This window comes from Homo sapiens, chromosome 2 (genome assembly GCF_000001405.40).
Source record: "Homo sapiens chromosome 2, GRCh38.p14 Primary Assembly".
NCBI lineage: Eukaryota > Metazoa > Chordata > Mammalia > Primates > Hominidae > Homo > Homo sapiens.
In genome coordinates, this window is record NC_000002.12 from 229,981,090 (window position 1) to 230,005,788 (window position 24,699).

General features: G+C 42.7%; 1 protein-coding gene across 2 annotated transcripts in view; it reads left to right on the top strand.

The window, feature by feature from the left end:
• FBXO36 (F-box protein 36) overlaps positions 1-24,699 on the top strand; it is a 90,617-nt gene that overhangs the window by 58,587 nt on the left and 7,331 nt on the right. For both annotated transcript variants that reach the window (NM_174899.5, XM_005246317.3), the window contains exon 3: positions 15,662-15,834. In NM_174899.5, coding sequence (NP_777559.3) covers positions 15,662-15,834 — 173 coding nt within the window. The remainder of the gene's footprint in view (positions 1-15,661; positions 15,835-24,699) is intronic.

Below are 24,699 nucleotides of genomic sequence, written 5' to 3' on the forward strand. Positions count from 1 at the left end.
CCCGCTGTGTGATCACAGCTGATTGCTCCTCCCCTCTGTGAGTCAGTTTCCTCATCCTTAACTGGAGATAATGGTTACTCCATATAGCCACGGTGAGCATTCAATGGCCTGATACAAAGTCAGGCGCAGTGGCTCACGCCTGTAATCCCAACTACTTGGGAGGCTGAAGTGAGAGGATCACTAGAGGCCAGAAGTTTGAGACCAGCCTGGGTAACACAGTGAGACCACCCCCCCATCTCTAAAAAAAACTTTAACAAAATGAAAAGCAAGACAAAATACCTGATATATGAACAGATTTTTTTTTTTTGAGACAGGATCTCACTCTGCTGCCTAGGCTGGAGTGCAGTAGCACGATCACGCTCACTGCAACTTTCACCTGCCAGGCTTAAGCGGATCACTTGAAGCCAGGAGTTCGAGACCAACCTGGCAAACATGGCAAAACCCTGTTTCTACAAAAAATACAAAAATTGGCTGGGCGTGGTGGTGCCTGCCTGCCCAGTTACTCAGGAGGCTGAGGTGGAAGGATCACCTGAGCCTGGGAGGTCCAGGCTGTAGTGCGCTGTGATTGTGCCACTATACTCCAACCTGGGTGACAGAATGAGACCCTGTCTCAAAAAAAAAAAAAAAAGAAAGAAAGAAAAAGGAAAAGAAAAAAAAAATTCCCAGCATGTCCTTATGGTTTGCTGTTGTATTAGTCTGTTCTCACATTGCTATAAGGAAATACCTGAGAATGGATAATTTATAAAGAAAGGAGGTTTAATTGGCTCATGGTTTTGCAGGCTGTACAGAAAGCATAGCAGCTTGTTTTTGGGGAGGCCCCAAGAAGCTTCCAGTCATGGTGGAAGGCAAAGAGGGAGCAGGTGTCTTACATGGCAGGAGCAGGAACAAGAGAGTGACAGGGTGAGGTGCCACACACTTGAGTTTTTTGTTTTGTTTTTGTTTTTTTTTTTGAGAGACCTAGCCTCACTCTGTTGCCCAGGCTGGAGTGGAGTGGGGCCATCCTGGCTCACTGCAACTTCCACCTCCCAGGCTCAAGTGATCTTCCCACCTCAGCCTCCTAAGTAGCTGGGACTACAGGCATGTGCCACCATGCCTGGCTAATTTTTTTGTATTTTTTGTAGAGATGGGGTTTCACTCTGTTGTCCAGGCTGCTTTCAAACTCCTGAGCTCAAGCAATCTGCCTGCCTTGGCCTCCCGTAGTGCTGGGATTACATGCGTGGGCCACTGTGCCCAGCCTCCTTCCTCTATCTGCAAAGCCAACAATGGCAGGTCTTGTCTTTCTCACGAGGCATCACTCTCACCTTGCCTCCGTGGTCATGTCTCCTTCTCTGACTATGACTCTCCTGCCTTCGTCTTTCCCTTATAAGGAACTTTGTGATGACATTAGGCTCACCAGATAATCCAGGATTATCTCCCATCTCAAGATCCTTAATTTGGCTGGGCACAGTGGCTCACACCAGTAATCCTAGCACTTTGGGAGGCTGAGGCGGGTGGATTACTTGAGGTTAGGAGTTTGAGACCAGCCTGGCCAACATGGTGAAACCTCGTCTCTACTAAAAATACAAAATTTAGCCAGGCATGGTGGTGGGCACCTGTAATCCCAGCTACTTGGGAGGCTGAGGGAGGAGAATCGCTTGAAACTGGGAGGCAGAAGTGGCAGTGACCCAAGACAGAGCAAGAGCTTGTCTCAAAAAAAAAAAAAAAAAAAAAGGATCCTTAATTTAATCACATCTGCACAGTTACTTTTGCCGTGTGAGGTCCCATATTCACAGGGTCTGGAGATTAGGACATGGACATCTTTGGGGACGGGCATTATTATGTCTACCACAGTGATTTATATTACTAAATTGCAAAATCAAAAACGTTGCTGAATTTTTTTAACAGATTTGCATTTTTATTTTATTTATTTTTGAGACAGGATCTCACTCTGTTGCCCAGGCTGGAGTGCAGTAGTGCAATCACAGCTCACTGCAGCCTCCATCTCCTGGGCTCAAACAATCCTCCTGCCGGGCGCGGTGGCTCATGCGTGTAATCCCAGCACTTTGGGAAGCCAAGGTGGGTGGATCACCTGTGGCCGGGAGTTCGAGACCAGCCTGACCAACATGGAGAAACCCCGTCTCTACTAAAAATACAAAATTAGCCAAGCGTGGTGGCTTATGCTTGTAATCCAAGCTACTCGGGAGGCTGAGGCAGGAGAATCGCTTGAACCTGGGAGGCAGAAGTTGCAGTGAGCCAAGATTACACCATTGCACTCCAGCCTGGGCAACAAGAGCAAAACTCCATCTCAAAAAAAAAACAAAAACAAACAAAACAATCCTCCCACCTCAGCCTCCTGAGTATCTGGGAGTGCAGGTGCACACCACCATGCCCAGCCAATTTAATTATTTTTATTTTTTAGTAGAGATGAGGTCTTGCTATGTTGCCCAGGCTGGTCTCAAACTCCTGAGCTCAAGCAATCCTACCTGCCTTGGCATCCCAAAGTGCTGGGATTACAGGTATGAGCCACTCAGCCTGGCCCAGGTTTGCATTTTTAAGAATCAAAACTGTCATGTTTATTAATTTAAACATTACTCTTAACACTACCAAGTATACAGAACTGTTAGCATGTGAATAAGAATGTTGCTTAATACAGACTACTTCCATTCCAATCCTGGCCCTAAACCCACTAGGTATGTGACCTTAACCAAATTATTTAATCTTTTTAGGTCTCAGTTCCCTCAACTGCTGATAATGGGAATAATAATGGCATCTATCTCACAGGATCCTTATGAGGACTAATTGAATGAAGTGCTTAGAATTTGCCTGGCACATAATAAGTACTCAAAAAATTCCAGCTGTTGGAGTTTTTAATATTTAAAAAGTGAAAATTGTTTCTCTCCTCCAAGCTCCCTTCCCCAGAGACGACCATTCTAAATAGTTTCATTTGTATTTGAATTCTTTCTGTTTGAATTGTATATATGTTTATAAAAATAAAATCAGGTTGGGCGCGGTGGCTCACGCCTGTAATCCCAGCACTTTGGGAGGCCGAGGCGGGTGGATCCCGAGGTCAAGAGATGGAGACCATCCTGGCCAACATGGTGAAACCCTGTCTCTACTAAAAATACAAAAATCAGCTGGGCATGGTGGCACGTGCCTGTAGTCCCAGCTACTCAGGAGGTTGAGGCAGGAGAATCGCTTGAACCCTGGAGGTGGAGGTTGCAGTGAGCCGAGATCATGCCACTGCACTCCAGCCTGGCAACAGAGCAAGACTCTATCTCAAAAACAAACAAAAAAAATCAAATCAATTACATCTTTAGGTTTTATTTTTTTTTTATTTTTTGAGTCGGAGTCTCGCTCTGTCGCCCGGGCTGGAGTGCAGTGGCGTGATCTCGGCTCACTGCAACGCCGCTCCCGGGTTCACGTCATTCTCCTGCCTCAGCCTCCCAAGTAGCTGGGACTACAGGCGCCCGCCAGCAAGCCCGGCTAATTTTTTATATTTTTAGTAGAGACGGGGTTTTACCATGTTAGCCATGATGGTCTCGATCTCCTGATCTTGTGATCCGCCCGCCTCAGCCTCCCAAAGTGCTGGGATTACAGCCGTGAGCCACCGCGCCCAGCCTAATCTTTAGGTTTTTAACTTGTTTTGCTCTTCATATATTATGATTATTTTTCTGTTAGTGTACATAAAGTCCCCTGTTCTTTTGCAAGGATGTATGGTATTCTGTGGGTACAAATACACAATCCTCAATTGATGGGCATTTTCGGATGGTTTCCAGGTTTTGCTGTTCTCACTGAAGCCTTTAGGTACATGCTGGGACATCTATATCTGCACACTTACATGAGAATGTCAGTAATATGGATTCCTACAGGGGGAATTGCTATATCCAAAGAGATATACCTTATAAATTTTGATAGATTTTATCTGAGGGGTGCATTCTTGAAAATCTTGCAGAATTCAGGGTTAACGTGACCAAGGATGGTCTTTCTGTGAACTGGCTCGCATGCCACTGCCACAGGATGCAGCGCAAATGGCATTTGCAACACATTTGACCTTAATAATTATGCCAACTTTATAATTATGCTACTCTTGAAAGAATTTTAAGTTGTGTGATTTACATTATTTTAACATTTGCACCTAAAATGAGACTTCATTAATATTTTGATGTCACAATATTTCAATTTAGAGTAATTTAAAATTTACGTAAAATACCAGTTACTTTCTTATCCTCACAAATTGCCCTCCAAAAAACTGCTGTGTTAATTATACTCCATCCAATAGGAGGTAGGTGTTTTCTTACCCCTTTTGCCACCATGCCTTGTTCCATAATCCATTTTCTCTAGGTTTCTTTTTTAGACTTATACGTCAGCCTTTAACTTGGGCCTTTATTTTCTCATTCCTAACTAACACCTCTTACAACACTCCTCCCCTCCTTGCTGCCCTCTCTGATCAGCTGCCCTTTGTCTTCAGCCTTGATCTCTAGCTTCTGCATACCTTGGGTTGGGTTCTGCAAGTGGATGGTGAGGTGGGAGAGTGCAGGAGGTAGGAGCCTGGGAGGCTGGCTCTGGGCTGCAGAGCAGAGAAGGCAAATCCAAATAAAATCTTACATTTTGTCATTTATTATTAACTGATGTTTTAAGATTAAAAATTGAAATAATGCACATAGTAAAACAAAAGTTAAATGAATTTGAAAAGTTTTAGGTTAAGCACTGTGGCTCATGCCTGTAATCCCAGCACTTTGGGAGGCAAAGGTGGGAGGACTGCCTGAGCCCAGGGGTTCAAGACCAGCCTGGGCAACATAGTGAGACACTGTCTATACAAAATTAAAAAAATTAGCTGGGCATGGTGGCATATGCCTGTAGTCCCAGCTACTTGGGAGTCTGAGGTGGGAGGATGGCTTGAGCTAGGAGGTCAAAGCTGTAGCTAGCCATGATTGTGCCACTATACTCCAGGCTGGGGGACAGGATGAGACCCTGTCTCGAAACAAATAAATAAATACAATAAAAATGAAAAGTTTTAGCATGAAAATAAGTCTCCCTCTGACCCTGTGTTTCTAGTTCCAGGACAACCATCATTAGGAGTTTCTGTTATATCCTTATAAAAATGGTTTATGCATACATACAAGAATATGTTATATATTAACACAAAAAGGACTGGGCAATGTAGCTCACACCTGTAATCTGAGGACTTTGGGAGGCCGAGGCTGGAGGATCACTTGAGCCCAAGCAGTTCACGACCAGTCTGGGCAATGTGATGAAACCCTGTCTGTATAAAAAATGCAAAAATTAACTGGGTGTGGATTCACGTTCACCTGTGGTCCCATCTGCTGGGGAGGCTGAAGTGGGAGGATCACTTGTATACAAGAGGTCACGGCTGCTGTGATTGTGCTACTACACTCCAGTATGGGCAACAGAGTGAGACCCTATCTTAAAATAAATAAATAAGTAAAATAAAATAAACATAAAAATTTTTTTTTTTTTTTTTTGGAGACAGAGTCTCCCTCTGTAGCCTAGGCTGGAGTGCAGTGGTGCCATCTTGGCTCACCACAGCCTCTGCCTCCTGGGTTCAAGCGATTCTCCTGCCTCAGCCTCCCGAGTAGCTGGGACTACAGGCACCCACCACCATGCCCAGCTAATTTTTGTATTTTTAGTAGAGACGAGGTTTCACCATGTTGGCCAGGCTGGTCTGGATCTCCTGACCTCAGGTGATCCACCCACCTCAGCCTCCCAAAGTGCTAGGATTATAGGTGTGAGCCACCACACCCGGCCAAAAAGAAGAATCTTATGCATTGTATCCTGTAGCTTGCTCTTTAAAAGTTTTCAAATTCAGAAATATTTTAAACCTACAGAAAAGAACATTACAGAGACTCTGGCTGGGCACAGTGGCTCACACCTGTAATCCCAGCACTTTGGGAGGCCAAGGTGGGCAGATCATTTGAGGTCAGGAGTTCAAGACCAGCCTGGCCAACATGGTGAGACCCATCTCTACTAAAAATATAAAAAAATTAGCCAGGCGTGTTGGCGCACAACTGTAATCCCAGCTACTTGGGAGGCTGAGTCGTTTGAACCCAGGAGACAGAGGCTGCAGTGAGTCAAGATTGTGGCCATTGCACTCCAGCCTGGGCAACAGAGCGAGACTCCATCTCAAAAAAAAAAAAAAAAGAACGTTACAGAGACTCAATACCACTAACAAAAGATGTTAACATTTGTCCTATTTACTTCATTTCATCTAAATTGTCACTTTTTTGTTGTAATCTGTTCATAATATCCTCTTCTTTTGATGTCTGAGGATCTGTAGTGTGTTCTCTTTTTCATTCCATGATAATGGTAATTTACATTTTCTCTAATTTTTTTCTTAATTAATCTTGCCAGGGGTTTACTTCATTCATTAACTTTTTTCATAGAACTAACTTTTAGCTCTGTTGATTTTGTTTTTGTGAGTTTTTAAAAAGTGATTTCTGTTCTTACCCTTATTTCCTTTCTACTACTTTCCTTAAGTCTGGTTTGTTGTTCTTTTTTAGCTTCTTGAGATGGAAGTATAAATCATTATTTATTTATTCATTTTATTTTATTTTTTATTTTTGAGATAGGGTTTTGTTCTGTCATCCAGGCTGGAGTGCAGTGGTGTGATCATGGCTCACTACAGCCTTAACCTCCTGGGCTTAAGTGATCCTCCTGCCTCAGCTTCTGGAGTAGCTGGGACTACAAGTGTGCACCACCACACCTGGATAATTTTGTAGAGACAGGGTCTCACTATGGTGCGCAGGCTGGTCTTGGGACTTATCTCTAACTCCTGGCCTCAAGCGATTCCTCCCACCTTGGCCTCCCAAAGTGCTGGGATTATAGACATGAGCCACTGCACCTTGCCTAAATCATTGTTTAGAGCCATTTTTTCTCCTCTAAATTTTCTTTAACTGCTGCTTTACCTACATAGACAAGTTTTGATAACTTGCGTCTTTATTCTCATTCATTTTCATTCAGTTAAAACATTTTCTAATTTCCATTTTGATTTCTTCTTTGACCCTTAGATTATTTAGAAACATATTGTTTAATTTACAGGTAGTTGGAGATTTCTTAGTTACTTTTTTTGTTCTTAATATTTAGCTAAATTACATGTGGTCAGAGAATCTACTCAAAATTATAACGTATTTTTTTAGATAACCATCTCAAAAGTATAGAAAATTATTTCATATAAATATTTCTAACATCTATTATAAACGAAAACTCCTAGAAAGCTAGTAATAGCTTTGTCCTGGATGTAAACACTTTTGCTTTTATTTACTGTTCCAGTGTTTCTTTCTGCAGATATAAACAAATTCATAAATATGTTTATATTCTGGTACCCGTTTTTTACACAAATAGCATTCTGCTCCTGCTGTTCAACACTTTACCTTTTCACCAGTATATCCAGGAAATCGCTTCATGTCTTTGGAGATATTCTTTGTTTTGTTTTGTTTTGTTTTTGTTTGTTTGTTTTTTTGTTTTTGAGACCGAGTTTCACTCTAGTTTCCCAGGCTGGAGTGCAGTGGCGCGATTTCAGCTCACTACAAGCTCCGTCTCATGGGTTCAAGAGATTCTCCTGCCTCAGCCTCCTGAGTAGCTGGGATTACAGGCATGCATCACCATGCCCAGCAAATTTTGTATTTTCTTAGTAGAGATGGGGTTTCTCCATGTTGCTCAGGCTGGTCTCGAACTCCTGACCTCAGGTGACCTCAGCCTCCCAAAGTGCTGGGATTATAGGCGTGAGCCACCATGCTGGCCTGTTTTTTTTTTTTTTTGTTTTTTTTTTTTTACCGCATAGTATTTATGCTTTAATAGAGTATATATGCTTTATACTAAAGCATATACTATATACATATCATATATATGCTTTATCTGCATATAATATTTCTTTATATGTAGGCATCAAAATTCTAATGATAAAAATTGGGTTGTTTCCAATCTTTTCGTATCACAGATAATGCCAAAATGAATAACTGTGTGCACAGATCATTTCAGTGTGAGATTGCTGGCCAAAAGATAAATGCTTACTAAGTTATAATTTTGAGTTAATGGTTTCTGGTATATAAAGAAATGATACTGATCTTTTTTCAGTAGGATTTCTTGACTTTCGTCAACTTTTGTATGTTGACATTCAGATCATTTTGTGGTAATGGCAGTTTTTCTTTCTGATCATGATGTATTTTTATTTTTATTTATTTATTTTTTTGAGATGGAGTTTAGCTCTTGTTGCCTAGGCTGGAATGCAATGGCACAATTTTGGCTCACTGCAACCTCTCCCTGCCAGCTTCAAGTGATTCTCCTGCCTCAGCCTCCTGAGTAGCTGGGATTACAGGCATGTGCCACCATGCCTGGCTAATTTTGTATTTTTAGTAGAGACAGGGTTTCTCCATGTTGGTCAGGCTGATCTTGAACTCCCCACCTCAGGTGATCTGCCCGCCTCAGCCTCCCAAAGTGCTGGGATTACAGGCGTGAGCCACCACGCCCGGCCATGATATATTTTGTTTGTTGTTTGTTTCAGAGTCTCGCTTTCTAGCCAAGGCTGGAGTGCAGTGGTGTGATCTCAGCTCACTGCAACCTCTGCCTCCCAGGTTCAAGCAGTTCTCTGCCTCAGACTCCAGAGTAGCTGGGATTACAGGCACCCACCACCACGCCTGGCTAATTTTTTTTTTTTTTTTTTTGTATTTTTAGTAGAGACAGGGTTTCACCATCTTGGCCAGGCTGGTCTTGAACTTCTGACCTCGTGATCCACCCGCCTCGGCCTCCCAAAGTGTTGGGATTACAGGCGTGAGCCACCGCACCCGGCTCATGATGTATTTTTATATTTTCCTTGTTTTGTTCTTTCTGTGACCTCTAAAACAATGCTGAATAGAGATGGTGATAGTGGGCATTCTGGTCTTATTTCTGACATTAGAGGTTATATACCATCATGATTGGAGGGTGCATTGTAGAGCAAACTCCCTGGGTTCAATCCTAGTTCTGCCGCTTTCTCATTGTGTGATCCTGAACAGCCACTTATCCTTTCTGTTCCTCATTTCCTAGTTTCTCTCTCTCTCTTAAGTTCTCTCCATATTCCAGAACTCCTTTTTTTCCTCTATAAGAGGGGAATAATAATAGTACCCATCCAATAGGGTCATTGTGAGGGTTAAATTATATAATATATATGATATATCTTATATATATTGTATAATATATATAACACACACACTTTATATATATACATATTAGAGCAGTACCTGGCAAATATTGAAGATGATACCAACCCATATTTGTACCATTCATTATTATTGTTACTGTTATTGGGTTTTAGTAACTTCTGTATATCAGGTTATCAGGTTAAGGATGTTCCCTTTTATTACTAGCTTTCTAGGAGTTTTCATTTATAATAGATGTTAGAAATATTTATATGAAATAATTTCTATACTTTTGAGATGGTTATCTAAAAAAATACGTTAATATGGCAAATTCTGTAAGATATTTACCAAAGTTATAACATCCTTGGATCATTCCAGGATTAATCCTACTGGTCAAAATTTGTTTACTTTTTTAATATGTTGGTGAACTCAATTTCCTAATGTTTTGTTTAGAATTTTTACCACATATGTTCCTAAGTAAAGTTTAGCATACAGTTTTCCTTTTGCCTACCATCATTGCTGGTTTGCACAACTTCCTAATTTGAGCTGGGGAGTTCTTCTATTTCTATTCTTTGGAACAAATTGTATACCATATGGATTGGTATATAATTCTTTGAGAGTTTATAAAGCTAATCTGTAAAGCAGTATAGACCTGAAACTTTAGTTAAGGTTTCCTTTTCTTAATTAATCAGTGAATTCATTTTATTTACTGGTCACAGTCTCTTGGGTTTTCTTTCTTTTTTTTCCCCTCCCCCGCCCCGAGTTGGGAGTCTCACTCTGTCACCCAGGCTGGAGTGCAGTGGTGCAATCTAGGCTCACTGCAACCTCCACCTCAAAGCAATTCTTCCACCTCAGCCTCCCTAGCAGCTGGGATTGCAGGCAAGCACCACCATGCCTAGCTAATTTTTGTATTTTTAATAGAGATGGGGTTTCACCATCTTGGCCAGGCTGGTCTAGAACTCATGACCTTAAGTAATCGGCCCACCTTGGCCTCCCAAAGTGCTGGGATTACAGGCATGAGCTACTGTGCCTGGCCTAATATCTTCTTTGACTCCTTAATTATTCAGAAATGTGTTTAAAATTTCCAAATGTTTCCCAGGATTATGAACTGAATGTGTCCCCCCTCAAATTCATATGTCAAACCCCTGACTCCCAGTGTACTATATTTGGACATGGAGGCCTCTAAGGAAGTAATTAAGGTTAAATAAGGTCTTTAAGTTGGGGCCCTAATCTGATAGAATTGGTGTTCTTGTTAGAAGTCGGACCAGAGGCTCACTCCCTGTCTCCTTAAGCTCACAAAGAAGAAGTCATGTGAGCACACAGTGAAATGGCAGCCCTGCACAAGCCAAGAGAAGAAGCTGTAGAATGAAAGCTACCTTGCTGGTTGAGGGTCCAAAGTCTTCTCCTTTTGTACTGCGTGTGACCCTTTCAGTTCAGGCTGGATGGCAGTGTTTTTACCAACATAATTCTCTTAAAAATATCATGGGTTTTCCATAATTCTTATTGGGGTCTACTGCATTAGAGAAAACCACACTTATATATTTCTGTGAGATAAGCACTTCTCTACCTTGGGTTTCTGCTCTTGACTCTTGAGTGACAACACTGTTAAGCTTCATGAAAACCCTAAGGTTTGACTGAATGGTTTTTGACAGAGCATCTTGTAGCCACCTTTCCCCATCTCCAATTTCTTCTTTATACCATGTTTTTCTTCCATTGTCCTAGATTTGATCTTTGCCTGAGAGTCACTTCTTAATTTTAGCTTGTTTGACAGCTGAAGAGGCAGAGAATGTTCAAAAGCAGTAAATCCTGTGTCCTTTTTAAGAGACCTTCCTTTAGCTTGTCTCTTTTCTCTTATCTTTTACTTTAAGCATCAAGAAGAAATCAGGCAGTATGTTCCTGCTCTGCTTGGACATTTCCTTAGCTAAATGGCACAACCCATAAGTTGCATTTTTTTCTCATTTAATCTTTTTTTTTTTTGAGGTGGAGTCTTACTCTGTTGTCCAGGCTGGAGTGCAATGGTGCAGTCTTGGCTACGGCACCCTCTGCCTCCCGGGTTCAAGCAATTATCATGCCTCAGCCTTGTAAGTAACTGGGATTACAGGTGCCCGCCTCCATGCCCAGCTGATTTTTGTATTTTCAGTAGAGATGATGTTTCACCATGTTGACCGGGCTGGTCTCGAACTCCTGACCCCAAGTGATCTGCCTGCCTTGGCCTCCCAAAGTGCTGGGATTACAGGCATGAGCGACCACACCTGGCCCTCACTTAATCTTTTGTCTTCATCTTTAAAACCTCAGAGTCCATTAGACTTCTACTAATGGTTTCTTCTTGGCTCTTCAGGCTTTCACCAACCCTCTCGTCACACTCATTCACATTTTTATGGACTTTTCAATATCAAAGCCACTCTTACATTTTAGGTTCCACTGTGGCAGCACATCTCTTGCAGGTACCCAAGTCTTTATCATCTATTGCTGTGTAACAGATTATCCCAAAACGTAATGACTTAAAACTATAATAATTGTTTATTATCTCAAACAGTTCCAGTGGACCAGAAATTTGGGAGCAACTTAACTGAGTGGTTCTGATTAGGAGACTTGCATGGGGTTGAATGGCACCTCAGTCATCTGAAGAAGGCTTGATTGGGGCTGGAGGATCCCATTCAAGGATGGCTTATACACATGGCTGAGAAATCACTGGTGGTTGTTGGCAGGAGGTTTCAATTTCTTGTCTCATGGACCTCTCCATAGTGCTGCTAAGTGAGGACTAAACTCTGATTTTTTTATCTTGCCCAAATTCCTATCTGAGGGGTCTGGGGAGTCATGCCCTACAAATCATAGTCTCATCAGATGGGTTTTGTTTAACCCTATATATCATAATTTACTTTCCAACCTGACTCTGGCATAACATTATGAGACAAAGAAGAAAATCAACATATTTTACCCCAAAACATGTTGATTTGCCATATTTTGAAATGGCCCTGCAAAGCTGTTCTTTGTGGGGGAAAATTTGTATCTGTAAAGAATCTCTATTAACAGAGCTAGATCTTTTTCTTCCAGACCCTCCCAATCCTAACGAGAGTAACTAAGATCTGAATAGGAAACACTGGTCATTTATTGTCTCTAAGGGCAGCCACTATAAGACTTCAAAAGAACTTGTCAGGACATGGCCGTTGGCTTCTCGCAGAGTGAGTGATCGAAGAGCAAAGCAGAAGCCTTTATGATGACCTACCCTTTGAATATCATTTCTGCAATATCCTCTTTGTTAATAGGGCAGCCCTATTCAGTGTGGGATGGAAATATGCGGGGGTGTAAGTTTAGGAAAAGATAGTCACTGAAACTGTCTTGGAGACTGTCTGCCACATAATCCAACAGGCAGGCGGTGATTTTATGTTTCAGAATGGAGTTTGTTTTAATATACTTTTTTTAATTTCAAAAGAAATATATGTTAGTTACATTTAAAAATACCAAAAAAGCAAGAGTATTTTTTCAAAATACTCTAACCACCTACACTTTCAAACCATCACATTTCATACCTAGCTGTACATGTCCTAAAACTTTTACACTTTATTTATTTATTTATTTATTTTTGGCAGGGACGGAGTTTGGCTCTGTCACTCAGGCTGGAGTGCAGTGGCACGATCTCAGCTCACTGCAACCTCCGCCATTCTCCCGCCTCAGCCTCCTGAGTAGCTGGGACTACAGGCGCCCACCACCACGCCCGGCTAATTTTTTTTTTTTCTTTTTGTTTTGTATTTTTAGTAGGGACAGGGATTCACTGTGTTAGCCAGGTTGGTCTCGATCTCCTGACCTCGTGATCCACCCTCCTCAGACTCCCAAAGTGCTGGGATTACAGGCGTGAGCCACTGCGCCTGGCCAACTTTTACACTTTAAATACTTTATTGGTGGAGACTTTCTAAAGTATATTTGAGCATGCTTTGAACATGTTTTCTTGTCATTTTAAAGTATTCAAAAATTATCTTCAATTATGTCAAGGGCTTTAAATAAGCACTGCTTTTTCTTCTTCTTCTGCTGGTGGGCAGAGGATCTTCACAATACCTACTCTTTAATGCTGAGTTTTTGAAAGGGCTATTCCTCACCCCCCAAGAAGGCCCTTGTACTTTAGAGGGGCTTTGAATGGGAAGCACTTGGAATTCAGAAGCAACTTAAATCCTTAATGCCTCTATTTTCTATTTCTGTATTAATGCCTTAATGTAGGCTAACCTGTTTGGGAGAGAAATCTTATATAGCTACTCTTCTAAGCTGGCACGATTGGGCTTTTACATAAACACAGCCCACACCTTACATCCATTCTGAAATCAGAGAGCCCAACTTCTAGGATCACAGTTCCGCCTGCTTCTGCAGGGAGCCTATTGCCCTTGACAGCTCTGTCCTACTTGCTCCAGAAGGAATGGTTCAGGTTGAATAGGGAAGGTGGTCGCCAAATATTGGACAGTGAATCTAAGAGAGTGCACTTTTTCTCTTCTAAGAGCCATTTTTGGGAAGACTCCATAGTGGAGCTTTCAGAGTCAGAAGGGGAGAAGAGAAACTGACAAAGCCCCCAGTTTTGGGGCCCCTGTGATCTATATGCATACCCCACCATCACCCTGTTTTCCTCTCTCTTAAAAGGAGGTAGTCTTGGCCGGGCATGGTGGCTAATGCCTGTAATCCCAGCACTTTGGGAGGCTGAGGCGGGTGGATCACCAGGTCAGGAGTTCGAGACCAGCCTGACCAACATGGTGAAACCCCATCTCTACTAAAAATACAAAAATTAGCCGGGCATGGTGGTGGGTGCCTGTAATCCCAGCTACTCAGGAGGCTGAGGCAGGAGAATTGCTTGAACCCAGGGGGCGGAGGTTGCAGTGAGCTGAGATCGTGCCACTGCACTCCAGCCTGGGTGACAGAGCAAGACTCTGTCTCAAAAAAAAAAGAGGTAGTCTTTTTTTCCAATATTTAAAAAAATTACACTGGTAATATGGGTTTATTGTACAAAGATCAGAAAATACAGATAGGCCAAAGGAAGAAAATAAAAGTCACCACATTTAACCACTGTTTACATTTAAACATCTATCCTTCCAAACAAGTTTTCATTTCTTGTTTATTCAGAGAACTGGGGGGAAATCCTTTTTTCCTACATCAAACATAGTTAGATAGGCCATTGATTGGTTGATTCTTTATGAACTATTTCCTAATTTGAAAATAAGTGAACAGGTACAGAAAATATTAGGCAAAAGTTAAAATACTATGAAGCATCCAGCCTGAGCAACATAGTGAGACCCTGTCTCTACAAAAAAAAATCATAATAATTTTTATGAAATATTCATGTTTTTCTCTTTGCCTCTTTATATTTTTTCTCTTTCTTTCCTTCCTTTCTTTCTTTCTTTCTTTCTCTTTCTTTCTTTCTTTTTTTTTTTTTTGGACAGAATTTCGCTCTTGTTGCACAGGTTGGAGTGCAATGGCATGATCTCAGCTCACCGCAACCTCCGCCTCCCGGGTTCAAGCAATTGTCCTGCCTCAGCCTCCCGAGTAGCTGGGATTACAGGCATGTGCCACCACGCCTGGCTAATTTTGTATTTTTATTAGAGACAGGGTTTCTCCATGTTGGTCAGGCGGGTCTCGAACTCCCAACCTCAGGTGATCCGCCTGCCTTGGCTGCCCAAAGTGCTGGGATTATAGGGGTGAGCCTCCGTGCCCAGCCCTGTTCCTATTTTTTTTTTTTCCTATCAAATGAAGTTAGGGATGAAAGGAGATGGTAAAGAAGGAAGAAAGTTTGGTGTAGACACAATGTATAAAAATAACAGGCTGGGTGTGGTGTCTCATGCCTGGAATCCCAGCACTTTGGGAGGCCGAGGTGGGAGGATTGCTTGAGCCCAGGAGTTCTAGACCAGCCTGGGCAACATAATAAGACTCCATCTCTAAAAAAAAATTTAAAAAAATAGCCAGGCATGGTGGCACACACCAATAGTCCCAGCTACTTGGGAGGCTGAAATGGGAGGATTGCTTGAGCCTGGGAGGTCGAGGCTGCAGTGAGCCGCGATTGCACCACTGCACTCCAGCCTGGGCGACCCCATCTAAAAAAAAAAAAAATAAGTTAAATAAGAGATCAAATGTCAGCTAAAATTAGGAGACAATGTGTTTTAGACTAATGGACAGTAGCAGGGCTGGCAGAAAAGCCACGTGGACCAGCATCTTTTTCCTCCACATAGCTGCCTGCTTGGAGGGGCCATGAGTACAATGGTAATGCCAAGACCAATTACGTTAGTGGTATAGACTGGAGTTTGGTGCTGATGAGATCAAGGGGATGCAGAAATCACTGTGTTAAACAGTGAGTGTCCCTCAAAGATTCTGATCTCAGGGCAGGGACAGAAATTGGAAACAGATGCCTCAAAAATGCATTCAGTTAGTCCCAAAGGCAGCTCGGTGAAAGTAGGAATGACTTAGCATCATCTAACGTCACTCCCAGGGGAAAAATGCCCTGAAGCTTGTATTTCACTGATTGTTATTATAATTTTTATGTGACTGTATATGATAACCATGTTGGCTTCTTTGAATTACAGGTCAAACTGCCTTAATATTTGGTGCAAGAATATTAGACTATGTCATCAATTTGTGCAAAGGTAAATTTGACTTCCTTGAACGGCTCTCAGACGATTTGCTCCTGACTATCATTTCTTATCTGGATCTTGAAGATATTGCCAGGCTTTGTCAAACATCACACAGATTTGCAAAGGTAACGGTCAATTATTTTATGTCTATATAGAATTTTCCATGTGCTTTCTAAAAAAAATTTTTAACATAGCAATCATTTGTTGAGTACTAACTTTGTGATGGACACTGTCTTAGGTGCACAAGCAGCAGAGATGAAATGACATTCCTCCCCTCAAAGAACTTACAGTATTATAGTAGAGATTCATGTAAATGCAAATAATTATAATACAGCGTGATCAGTTCAACAAGGGATGTGTATGCAAGGTACAAAGAGAGTGCAAAGTGATTTTCTCTGCCTGGCTTCACAAAAGCAGGTTACTTTATCTAGCTTTTGAGGGTGAAGTTGGTGAAGACAGGTGATCTGGGTTAGGGGGCATTCCAAGTCAAGGAACAACCAAGCAGAAGCATAGTGGCGTAAGAGAATAGGGCACTTTGGGAGGCCGAGGTGGGTGGATCACCTGAGGTCAGGAGTTTGAGACCAGCCTGGCCAACATGGGGAAACCCCATCTCTACTAAAAATACAAAAATTAGCTGGGCGTGGTGGCAGGTGTTTGTAATCCCAGCTACTCAGGAGGCTGAGGCAGGAGAATCACTTGAACCCGGGAGGTGGAGGTTGCAGTGAGCCAAGATCTCGCCACTGAACTCCAGCCTGGGTGACAGAGCGAGACTCTGACTCAAAAAAAAAAAAAAAAGAGAGAGAGAATAGGGCAAGGAGGACAACCTGACATCCGCGTTTCCATTTCTTCTAGTAATAGCCTTTGCTGCATTTCCTGTCTCCCAATATGTGTGTTTCAGTGGGCTGTCCATTGCAGTGTCCTGTTTTCTTCCTTGCCCGAAGCTGACAAGATGCATTGTCTCACTGCTTGAAATCCTCAGCAGAATGACCCAAGAGCAGGAAGCACAGTTAGTGCTGATTTCAGCCATTGTCAAGGCTTCAGTGTGACCTTTGTCAGTTGTACTCCCTGGATCCTGGAAGATACCTTGGTCCCTAACCCTTCTGTTGTTCCTTCAACTCCAGAACCCCCAATGCTACCCCACAATCACACACATACTACTTTTCCATTAAATCTCTTTTTGGCTTAAGTAAATCAGAATGGGAATCTGTTGCTTGCAACTGAGGAACCCTGACTAGCTCGGTATTTAGCTGTAATGTGTTGGGGCAATGTCCATTTATAAAAGAACATACAACATTTTCCAAGATGATTCAAATCATAATCTTATTATCTAAAAAGCCAACATTTTTTCCCAATAATGCAATAAAATGTCTTTATTTTTAAAATTAATTTTAATTCAGGCACAGTGGCTCATGACTGTAATTCCAGCACTTTGGGAGGCTGAGGAGGGAGGATTGGTTGAGCCTAGGAATTTGAGATCAACTTGGGCAAAATAGGGAGATTCCATCTCCACAGTACATTTTTAAAAAATTAGCTGAGTGTTATGGCCGGGCGCGGTGGCTCATGCCTGTAATCCCAGCACTTTGGGAGGCTGAGGCGGTTGGATCACCTGAGGTTGGGAGTTTGAGACCAGCCTGACCAGCATGGAGAAAACCTGTCTCTACTAAAAATACAAAATTAGCCAAGCGTGGTAGCACATGCCTGTAATCCCAGCTACTAGGGGGGCTGAGGCAGGAGAATCGCTTGAACCCGGGAGGCGGAGGTTGTGGTGAGCCAAGATCGTGCCATTGCACTCCAGCCTGGGCAACAAGAGCGAAACTCAGTCTCAGAAAAAAAAAAAAAAAGAATTTCTGAGTGTCATGGCATGCCCCTGTAGTCCCAGTTACTCTGGAGGCTGAATAGGAGGATCACTTGAGCCCAGGACGTTGAGGTTACAGTGAGTTGTGTTCATACCACTGTACCCCAGCCTGGACAACAGAACAAAACCCTGTCTCAAAAAACATAATTTTTTTTTTTTTTTTTTTTGAGACCGAGTCTCTGTCTGTCGCCCAGGCTGAAGTGCAGTGGCGCGATCTCGGCTTACTACAAGCTCTGCCTCCCAGGTTCACGCCATTCTCCTGCCTCAGCCTCCCGAGTAGCTGGGACTACAGGTGCCCGCCACCACACCCGGCTAATTTTTTGTATTTTTAGTAGAGACGGGGTTTCACCGTGTTAGCCAGGATGGTCTCGATCTCCTGACGTTGTGATCTGCCCGCCTCAGCCTCCCAAAGTGCTGGGATTACAAGCGTGAGCCACCGCGCCTGGCCAAAAATAATTTTAAGTAATGTAATTTTTTTTTTTTTTTTTTTTGAGACAGAGTCTTTCTCTGTCGCCCAGGCCAGAGTGCAATGGCATGATCTCCGCTGACTGCAACCTCCGCCTATTGGGTTCAAGTGATTCTTGTGCCTCAGCTTCCCGAGTAACTGGGATTACAGGCACCCACCATCATGCCCAGCTAATTTTTATATTTTTAGTACAGACGGGGTTTCCCCGTGTTGGCCAGGCTGATCTCAAACTCCTGACCTCAGGTGATCCACCCACCTCGGCCTCCCAAAGTGCTGGGATTACAGGTGTGAGCCACCGCGCCCGGCCTTAAGTAATATAATCTGTATTATAGTACTTAATATATTCCTTTTGAGAGTGTGTGTGTGTGTATATATATATGTATATATATATATATATGTATGTGTATATATACACACACACACATATTTAATTTTTAAAAGAGAGGTGGGATTTCATTGTGTTGCCCAGGTTGCTCTTGAACTCCTGGGCTCAAATGATCCTCCCACCTCAGCCTCCCAAAGTGCTGAGATTACAGGTGTGAGCCACCTTCCTGTCCAAATATATATATGTATATATATGTATTTTTTAACTTATATTTTGGGTTCAGGCATACATGTGAAGGTTTGTTACACAGGTAAACTCATGTCACAGGGTTTTTTTGTACAGATTATTTAATCACCCAGGTTAATTATTAAACCCAATACCCAATAGTTATGTTTTCTGCTCCTCCTCTTCCTCCCACCCTCCACCCTCAAGTAGACACCAGTATCTATTGTTTCCTTCTTTGTATTCATAAGTTCTCATCATTTAGCTCCCCAAAATATATTTTTTACTTGATTTTCCTACCTAAAAATGGAAAGCTGAAAACAAGTACTATTGTATATATTTTTGCCATTAAATAAGTATCCTAAAGTTGAAATTTTGTGCTTGGTGCTGATAAGAAGCTGATTATTAGGGCCTGGCACGGTGGCTCACACCTGTAATCCCAGCACTTTGGGAGGCCGAGGTGGGTGGATCACCTGAGGTCAGGAGTTTGAGACCAGCCTGGCCAACATAGGGAAACCACATCTCAACTAAAAATACAAAAATTAGCTGGGCCTGGTGGCACAGGCCTGTAATCCCAGGTAGTTGGGAGGCTGAGGCAGGATTGCTGCTTGAACTCAGGATGTGGAGGTTGCAGTGAGCCAAGATCACACCACTGCACTGCAGCCTGGACAACAGAGTGAGACTGTCTCAAAAAAAAAAAAAAAAAAAAAAAGAAGCAGCAGCAGCTGATTATTCATACTTTAAATGAAAAGAGAATTCTACGTAAATAAAATATGCAAGTGGGGATCTAGCAAAAGTTTCTGCGCTGTTGCAGGGCCTGGATTTGATTTTCTATCAAATCCTTCCATTTACTTTCAGTAAATTTCTGCTCCTGCAAGTAAATGGAAGGATTTGATAGGAAACAGCAGCAAGTGAGTGGCTTCTGGTAGTTATTTCTCACGCTGAGCGGCTGCCTTCTCTCCAAGTTTTACTCACTTCCACTATTACTTTCACTCTTAGTGTCCTGCTATTATTTCAGTGCAGTCTTGAAAACATTCTCCATAATTTAGCCAGTGCTCTGAAGTAGGTCTTCTCTAGGTTGCTGATTTCAGCCCTGAGCATCTTTACAGAGCAGAATTATTAGAAGATGGAACATGACTCAGGGCTGCTGCTTTTATTCTCCCCGCATAACATTAACCACTTTTCTTTTTTTTTTTTTTTTTTTTTTGAGTCAGAGTCTCGCTCGGTCACCCAGGCTGGAGTTCAGTGGTGAGATCTCAGCTCATGCAACCTCCACCTCCTGGGTTCAAGGGATTCTCCTGCCTCAGCCTCCTGAGTAGCTGGGTGGGACTACAGGTGCTTGCCACCATGCCTGGCTAATTTTTGCATTTTCAGTAGAGACTGGGTTTCACCATGTTGGCCAGGTTGGTCTTGAACTCCTGGCCTCAAGTGATCCACCTACCTCAGCCTCCCAAAGTGTTGAGATTACAGGCGTGAGCCACTGCACCCAGCCAACCACTTTTTTTCTTATTTGCACACAGGGAAAGAAGGAAAACCACTTATTTCTGTTGTCAATCTAAGTTTTATCTCTGTTCCATTTACCTGTTACACACTTCATTTATAAGTTATTTTCTTTTTCTTTTTTCTTTTTTTTTCTTTTGAGACAGAGTCTCGCTCTGTTGCCCAGGCTGGAGTGCAATGGCACCATCTCGGCTCACTGCAACCTCTGCCTCCTGGGTTCAAGCAATTCTGCTGCCTCAGCCTCCCGAGTAGCTGGGATTACAGGCACCCACCACTGTGCCTGGCTAATTTTTGTATTTTTAGTAGACACGGGGTTTCGCCATGTTGTCCAGGCTGGTTTTGGACTCCTGACCTCAGGTGATCCACCTGCCTCGGCCTCCCAAAGTGCTGGGATTGCAGGCATGAGCCACCATGCCCAACCTTATAAGTTATTTTCATTTAACTACTTTATTAATGAAAAAAAGGCTTCCTTTTCAAATTCCGGGGGACAAGTTTATTACCAAATTATTTGTGTCCAGTCCAGCTCCTTCCTCTTTACCTCAGGGAGGGAGTTGCTCCTCTCCTGCTCAAGATCAGTGCTACCTGACACGTGGTTCCAGGGCCTACTCCTGGGAATTTCACTTATTTCCTTTCTCTTCTGTTTGTTATTGTTACTATTATTGTTTTTTTAAGAGACAAAGTCACTCCATCACCCAGGCTGGAGTGCAGTGGCATGATCTCTGCTAACTGCAATCTCCGCCTCCCAGGTTCAAGCGATTCTCATGCGTCAGCCTCCTGAGTAGCTGGAATTACAAGTGCAAGCCACCACACCTGGCTAATTTTATTTTATTTTATTTTATTTCTGTATTTTTGGTAGAGACGGGGTTTTACCACGTTGGCCAGGCTGGTCTCGAACTCCTGACCTCAAGTGATCAGCCTGCCTCAGCTTCCCAAAGTGCTGGGATTACAGGCATGAGCCATTGCTCGGCCTATTGTTATTTTTTTTTTAACTTTTAATTACCCAGCTTCCCCCATGTTGACATCTTACATAACCATGGTACATTTATAAAAACTAGGCAATTAATATTGGTACAACACTATTAACTAAAATACAGATGTTATTAGAATTTCATTAGTTTTTTCAATAATGTCCTTTTGCTGTTTTATGTCCAATCTAGCTTACTACACTGCATTTAGTAATTAAATCTTTCTCTGTTTTTTCCCCCCCGTACGTTAATTTTTTTTTTTTCCTTTTTGAGACAGGGTCTTGCTTTGTTACACAGTCTGGAGTGCAATGGCATGATTACAGCTCACTGCAACCTCCACCCCCTGGGCTCAAGTGATCCTTCCACCTCAGCCTCCTGGGTAGCTGGGACTACAGGCCTGCGCCACCATACCCAGCTAATTTTTGTATTTTTTGTAGAGACAGGGTTTTGCCATCTTGCGCTGGTTGGTCTTGAATTTTGGGGCTGAAGCAATCCTCCTGCTTCAGCCTCCCAAAGTGTTAGGATTACAGGCATGCGCCACCATGCCCGGCATTAATTTTTTTCTCAAATCAGTTTCATCCTTCAAAAAACAAAAACTATCCTTATCCAATCTCTCTTCTTCAAAAATGGTTTACATAGCAGTTAATGCTCAGCAAACCAGCAGCATTAGTGACTTTATAACCCATGATGAAATGAGAATAATAAGGATGATATAAAGTTTTTGATAAAGCTAAACTTGTTTTATTTAAATGACCGTCTTTCAGTGGATGTTAGATCTTTCCTATTTTGGGGAGGGTTGAAATATTCCTTCTTGGCTGGGCACAGTGGCTCACACCTTTGGGAGGCCGAGGCGGATGGATCACGAGGTCAGGAGATCAAAACCATCCTGGCCAACATGATGAAACCCCCGTCTCTACCAAAAATACAAAAAATTAGCCAGGTGTGGTGGCATGCGCCTATAGTCCCAGCTACTCAGGTTGAGGCAAGAGAATCGCTTGAACCCAGGAGGCGGAGATTGCAGTGACCCAAGATCGGGCCACCGCACTTTACCCCAGGCTACAGAGCAAGACTCCGTCTTAAAAAAAAAAAAAAAAAAAAAAAGTTCTTTTTTTTATGAAGTGGTGGCAATAATACATGATCACTTTAAAAATTGTTCTTATTTGACAAAATGTGAAAGTCAGCAGCAACCTTATTTTTGTTCTTTATTATCATTTTATTTTGTTCTGCCTTTTAAAAAATTCACTGGTCTTAGGATAACCCAAAATTCTGAGAGGTGTTAGTCTAATGTCAGCCTACAGCTCCTCTTTCATTTTCCCCTCGGTCCATGCCTGCAAAATATCTCTGGCACATTCACAACAACCTTGTGTTTGTTGTATCAAAAGGGCCTGTTTCAGGTGTTCTTCTTCTTTTTTTTTTTTTGACACGGAGTCTTGCTGTGTTGCCCAGGCTGGAGTACAGTGGTGTGATCTCAACTCACTGCAACCTCCACCTCCCAGGTTCAACTGATTCTCCTGCCTCAGCCTCCCAAGTAGCTGGGACTACAAGCATGTGCCACCACACCCGGCTAATTTTTAGTATTTTTAGTAGAGACAGGGTTTCGCCATGTTGGCCAGGCTAGTCTTGAACTCTTGAACTCAGGTAATCGCCTGCCTTGGCTTCCCAAAGTGCTGAGATTACAGGCATGAGCCACCCATGCCCAACCAAGTCTTCTGCTTCTTGACTCATCTCTGCTTCCAGGACTCTGGTGGGTTTTCTCCTGGGAACCCCTTCATTGCTTCAGTGATTGCTTGTCCATGTGAGCTCAGGGTGGCCATTTTACATTGTACTCTGGTCATGCCATTGTCCTGCTCACTGGCCTTTAATGGCTTCCTGTCATTTTCAGAATGAGGTCCACAGTCGTAGCCAGCACAGCCACGGGGCCCTTGCCCTGCCTCCTGCCACCCTCTGCCCCAGCCAGGTCAGCTCCTTGCAGCTCTCTGTGTGCTGTGCTCTACTGTGCCTTTTGCCTTTGCTTAACACTGCTCTCTTTTCCAGGAATATTCTCCTCCTGACTCAACCACCACCTGGATCTCCCAAATGCCCCTTGATTGGCTTTTGTGCTTGCTTGCCCCACCCCCTTGACTTGTCTCTCTGCCAAGCTCAAGGGCAAGGATTGTGTCACCTAACTTCATATACCCACCTTAACAGAGTGTCTAGCCCAGAGTTACCTCCCAGAAAACGGTGGTTGAATGCTTCCATATCAATTTTGTTTATATTTTTGAAAAAGAAAGTTGACATCCATTGCAATGGTCAGATTGGAAATGTTTAAAAATTATGTATCCTTGTATATAAACTAAAAAGTTATTGCCCCTCCCAGTCCTGACCCTCATTCCTCTGATTCTCATCTCTAGTGGCAACCATATTAACTGTGTTTTGCATGTCCTTCCGGAGATATTCTACACATGTAGAACCATATGTGTGTGGGATGTGCAAGTACATATACCGGTACACACACCCTTCTAAAAAGCATGTAGTAACATATTATATATTGTTCTCCATCTGTTTTTTTTTCTACTTCACAACATATTTTAGACACTTTTAAAATATCAGTACTGGCCACGCATGGTGGCTCACACCTGTAATCCCAGCACTTTGGGAGGCCGAGGCAGGTGGATCACTTGAGGTGAGGAGTTTGAGAACAGTCTGACCAACATGGTGAAACCTCGTCTCTACTAAAAATACAAAATTAGCTGGGCATGGTGGCACACACCTGTAATCCCAGCTACTTGGGAGGCTGAGGCAGGAGAATCGCTTGAACCCAGAAGGCAGAGTTTGCAGTGAGCCGAGATTGACCCATTGCACTCCAGTCTTGGCAATAAGAGTGGAACTCCATCTCAAAAATAAAATAAAACATCAGTACCTATCAATCTTCCTCCATTTAAAAAAATTGCCATAGGATATCAGCGCATGGACAGATTATTTATTTATTTATTTATTTATTTTCCTGAGACAGGGTCATCTTGCTGTGTCACCCAGGCAGGAGTGTGGTGGCATAAACACAGCTCACTGCAGCCTTCACCTCCTGGGCTCAAGCAATCCTCCCACCTCAGCCTCTCAAATGTCTGGGACTACAGGTGCACACCACGACACCCGGCTAATTTTTGTGTTTTTTGTAGAGACTGGGTCTTGCTATCTTGCCTTAGCTGGTCTCGAATCTTGGGCTCAAGCAGTCCTCCTGCCTCGGCCTTCCAAAGTGTTGGGATTACAGGTGTGAGCCACCACACACAGTGAAGATAATTTATTTAACCAGATTTTTTGTTTACCCTCTGTATTTATAAATGATGCTCCATACTTTATATACAATTTGCATTGCATGTTTATCTGTAGAAAAAATTGCTAAGTGTAACTATTTAAAATACTCAAAGAAATATATTGAAATATGCATGATATAGGTAGTATACTGGGACTATAATATGCGCCTCCATGCATATGGAAAAAAGGAAATAAGTATGTACCTTGGGTCACAGACTATAACATTCATTCATTCATTCATTTATTCATTCATTCATTTATTTGAGATGGAGTCTCACTCTGTTACTCAGGTCGGAGTGCAGTGGCACAATCTTCGTTCATTGCAGCCTCCGCCTCCCAGATTCCAGTGATTCTCCTGCCTCAGCC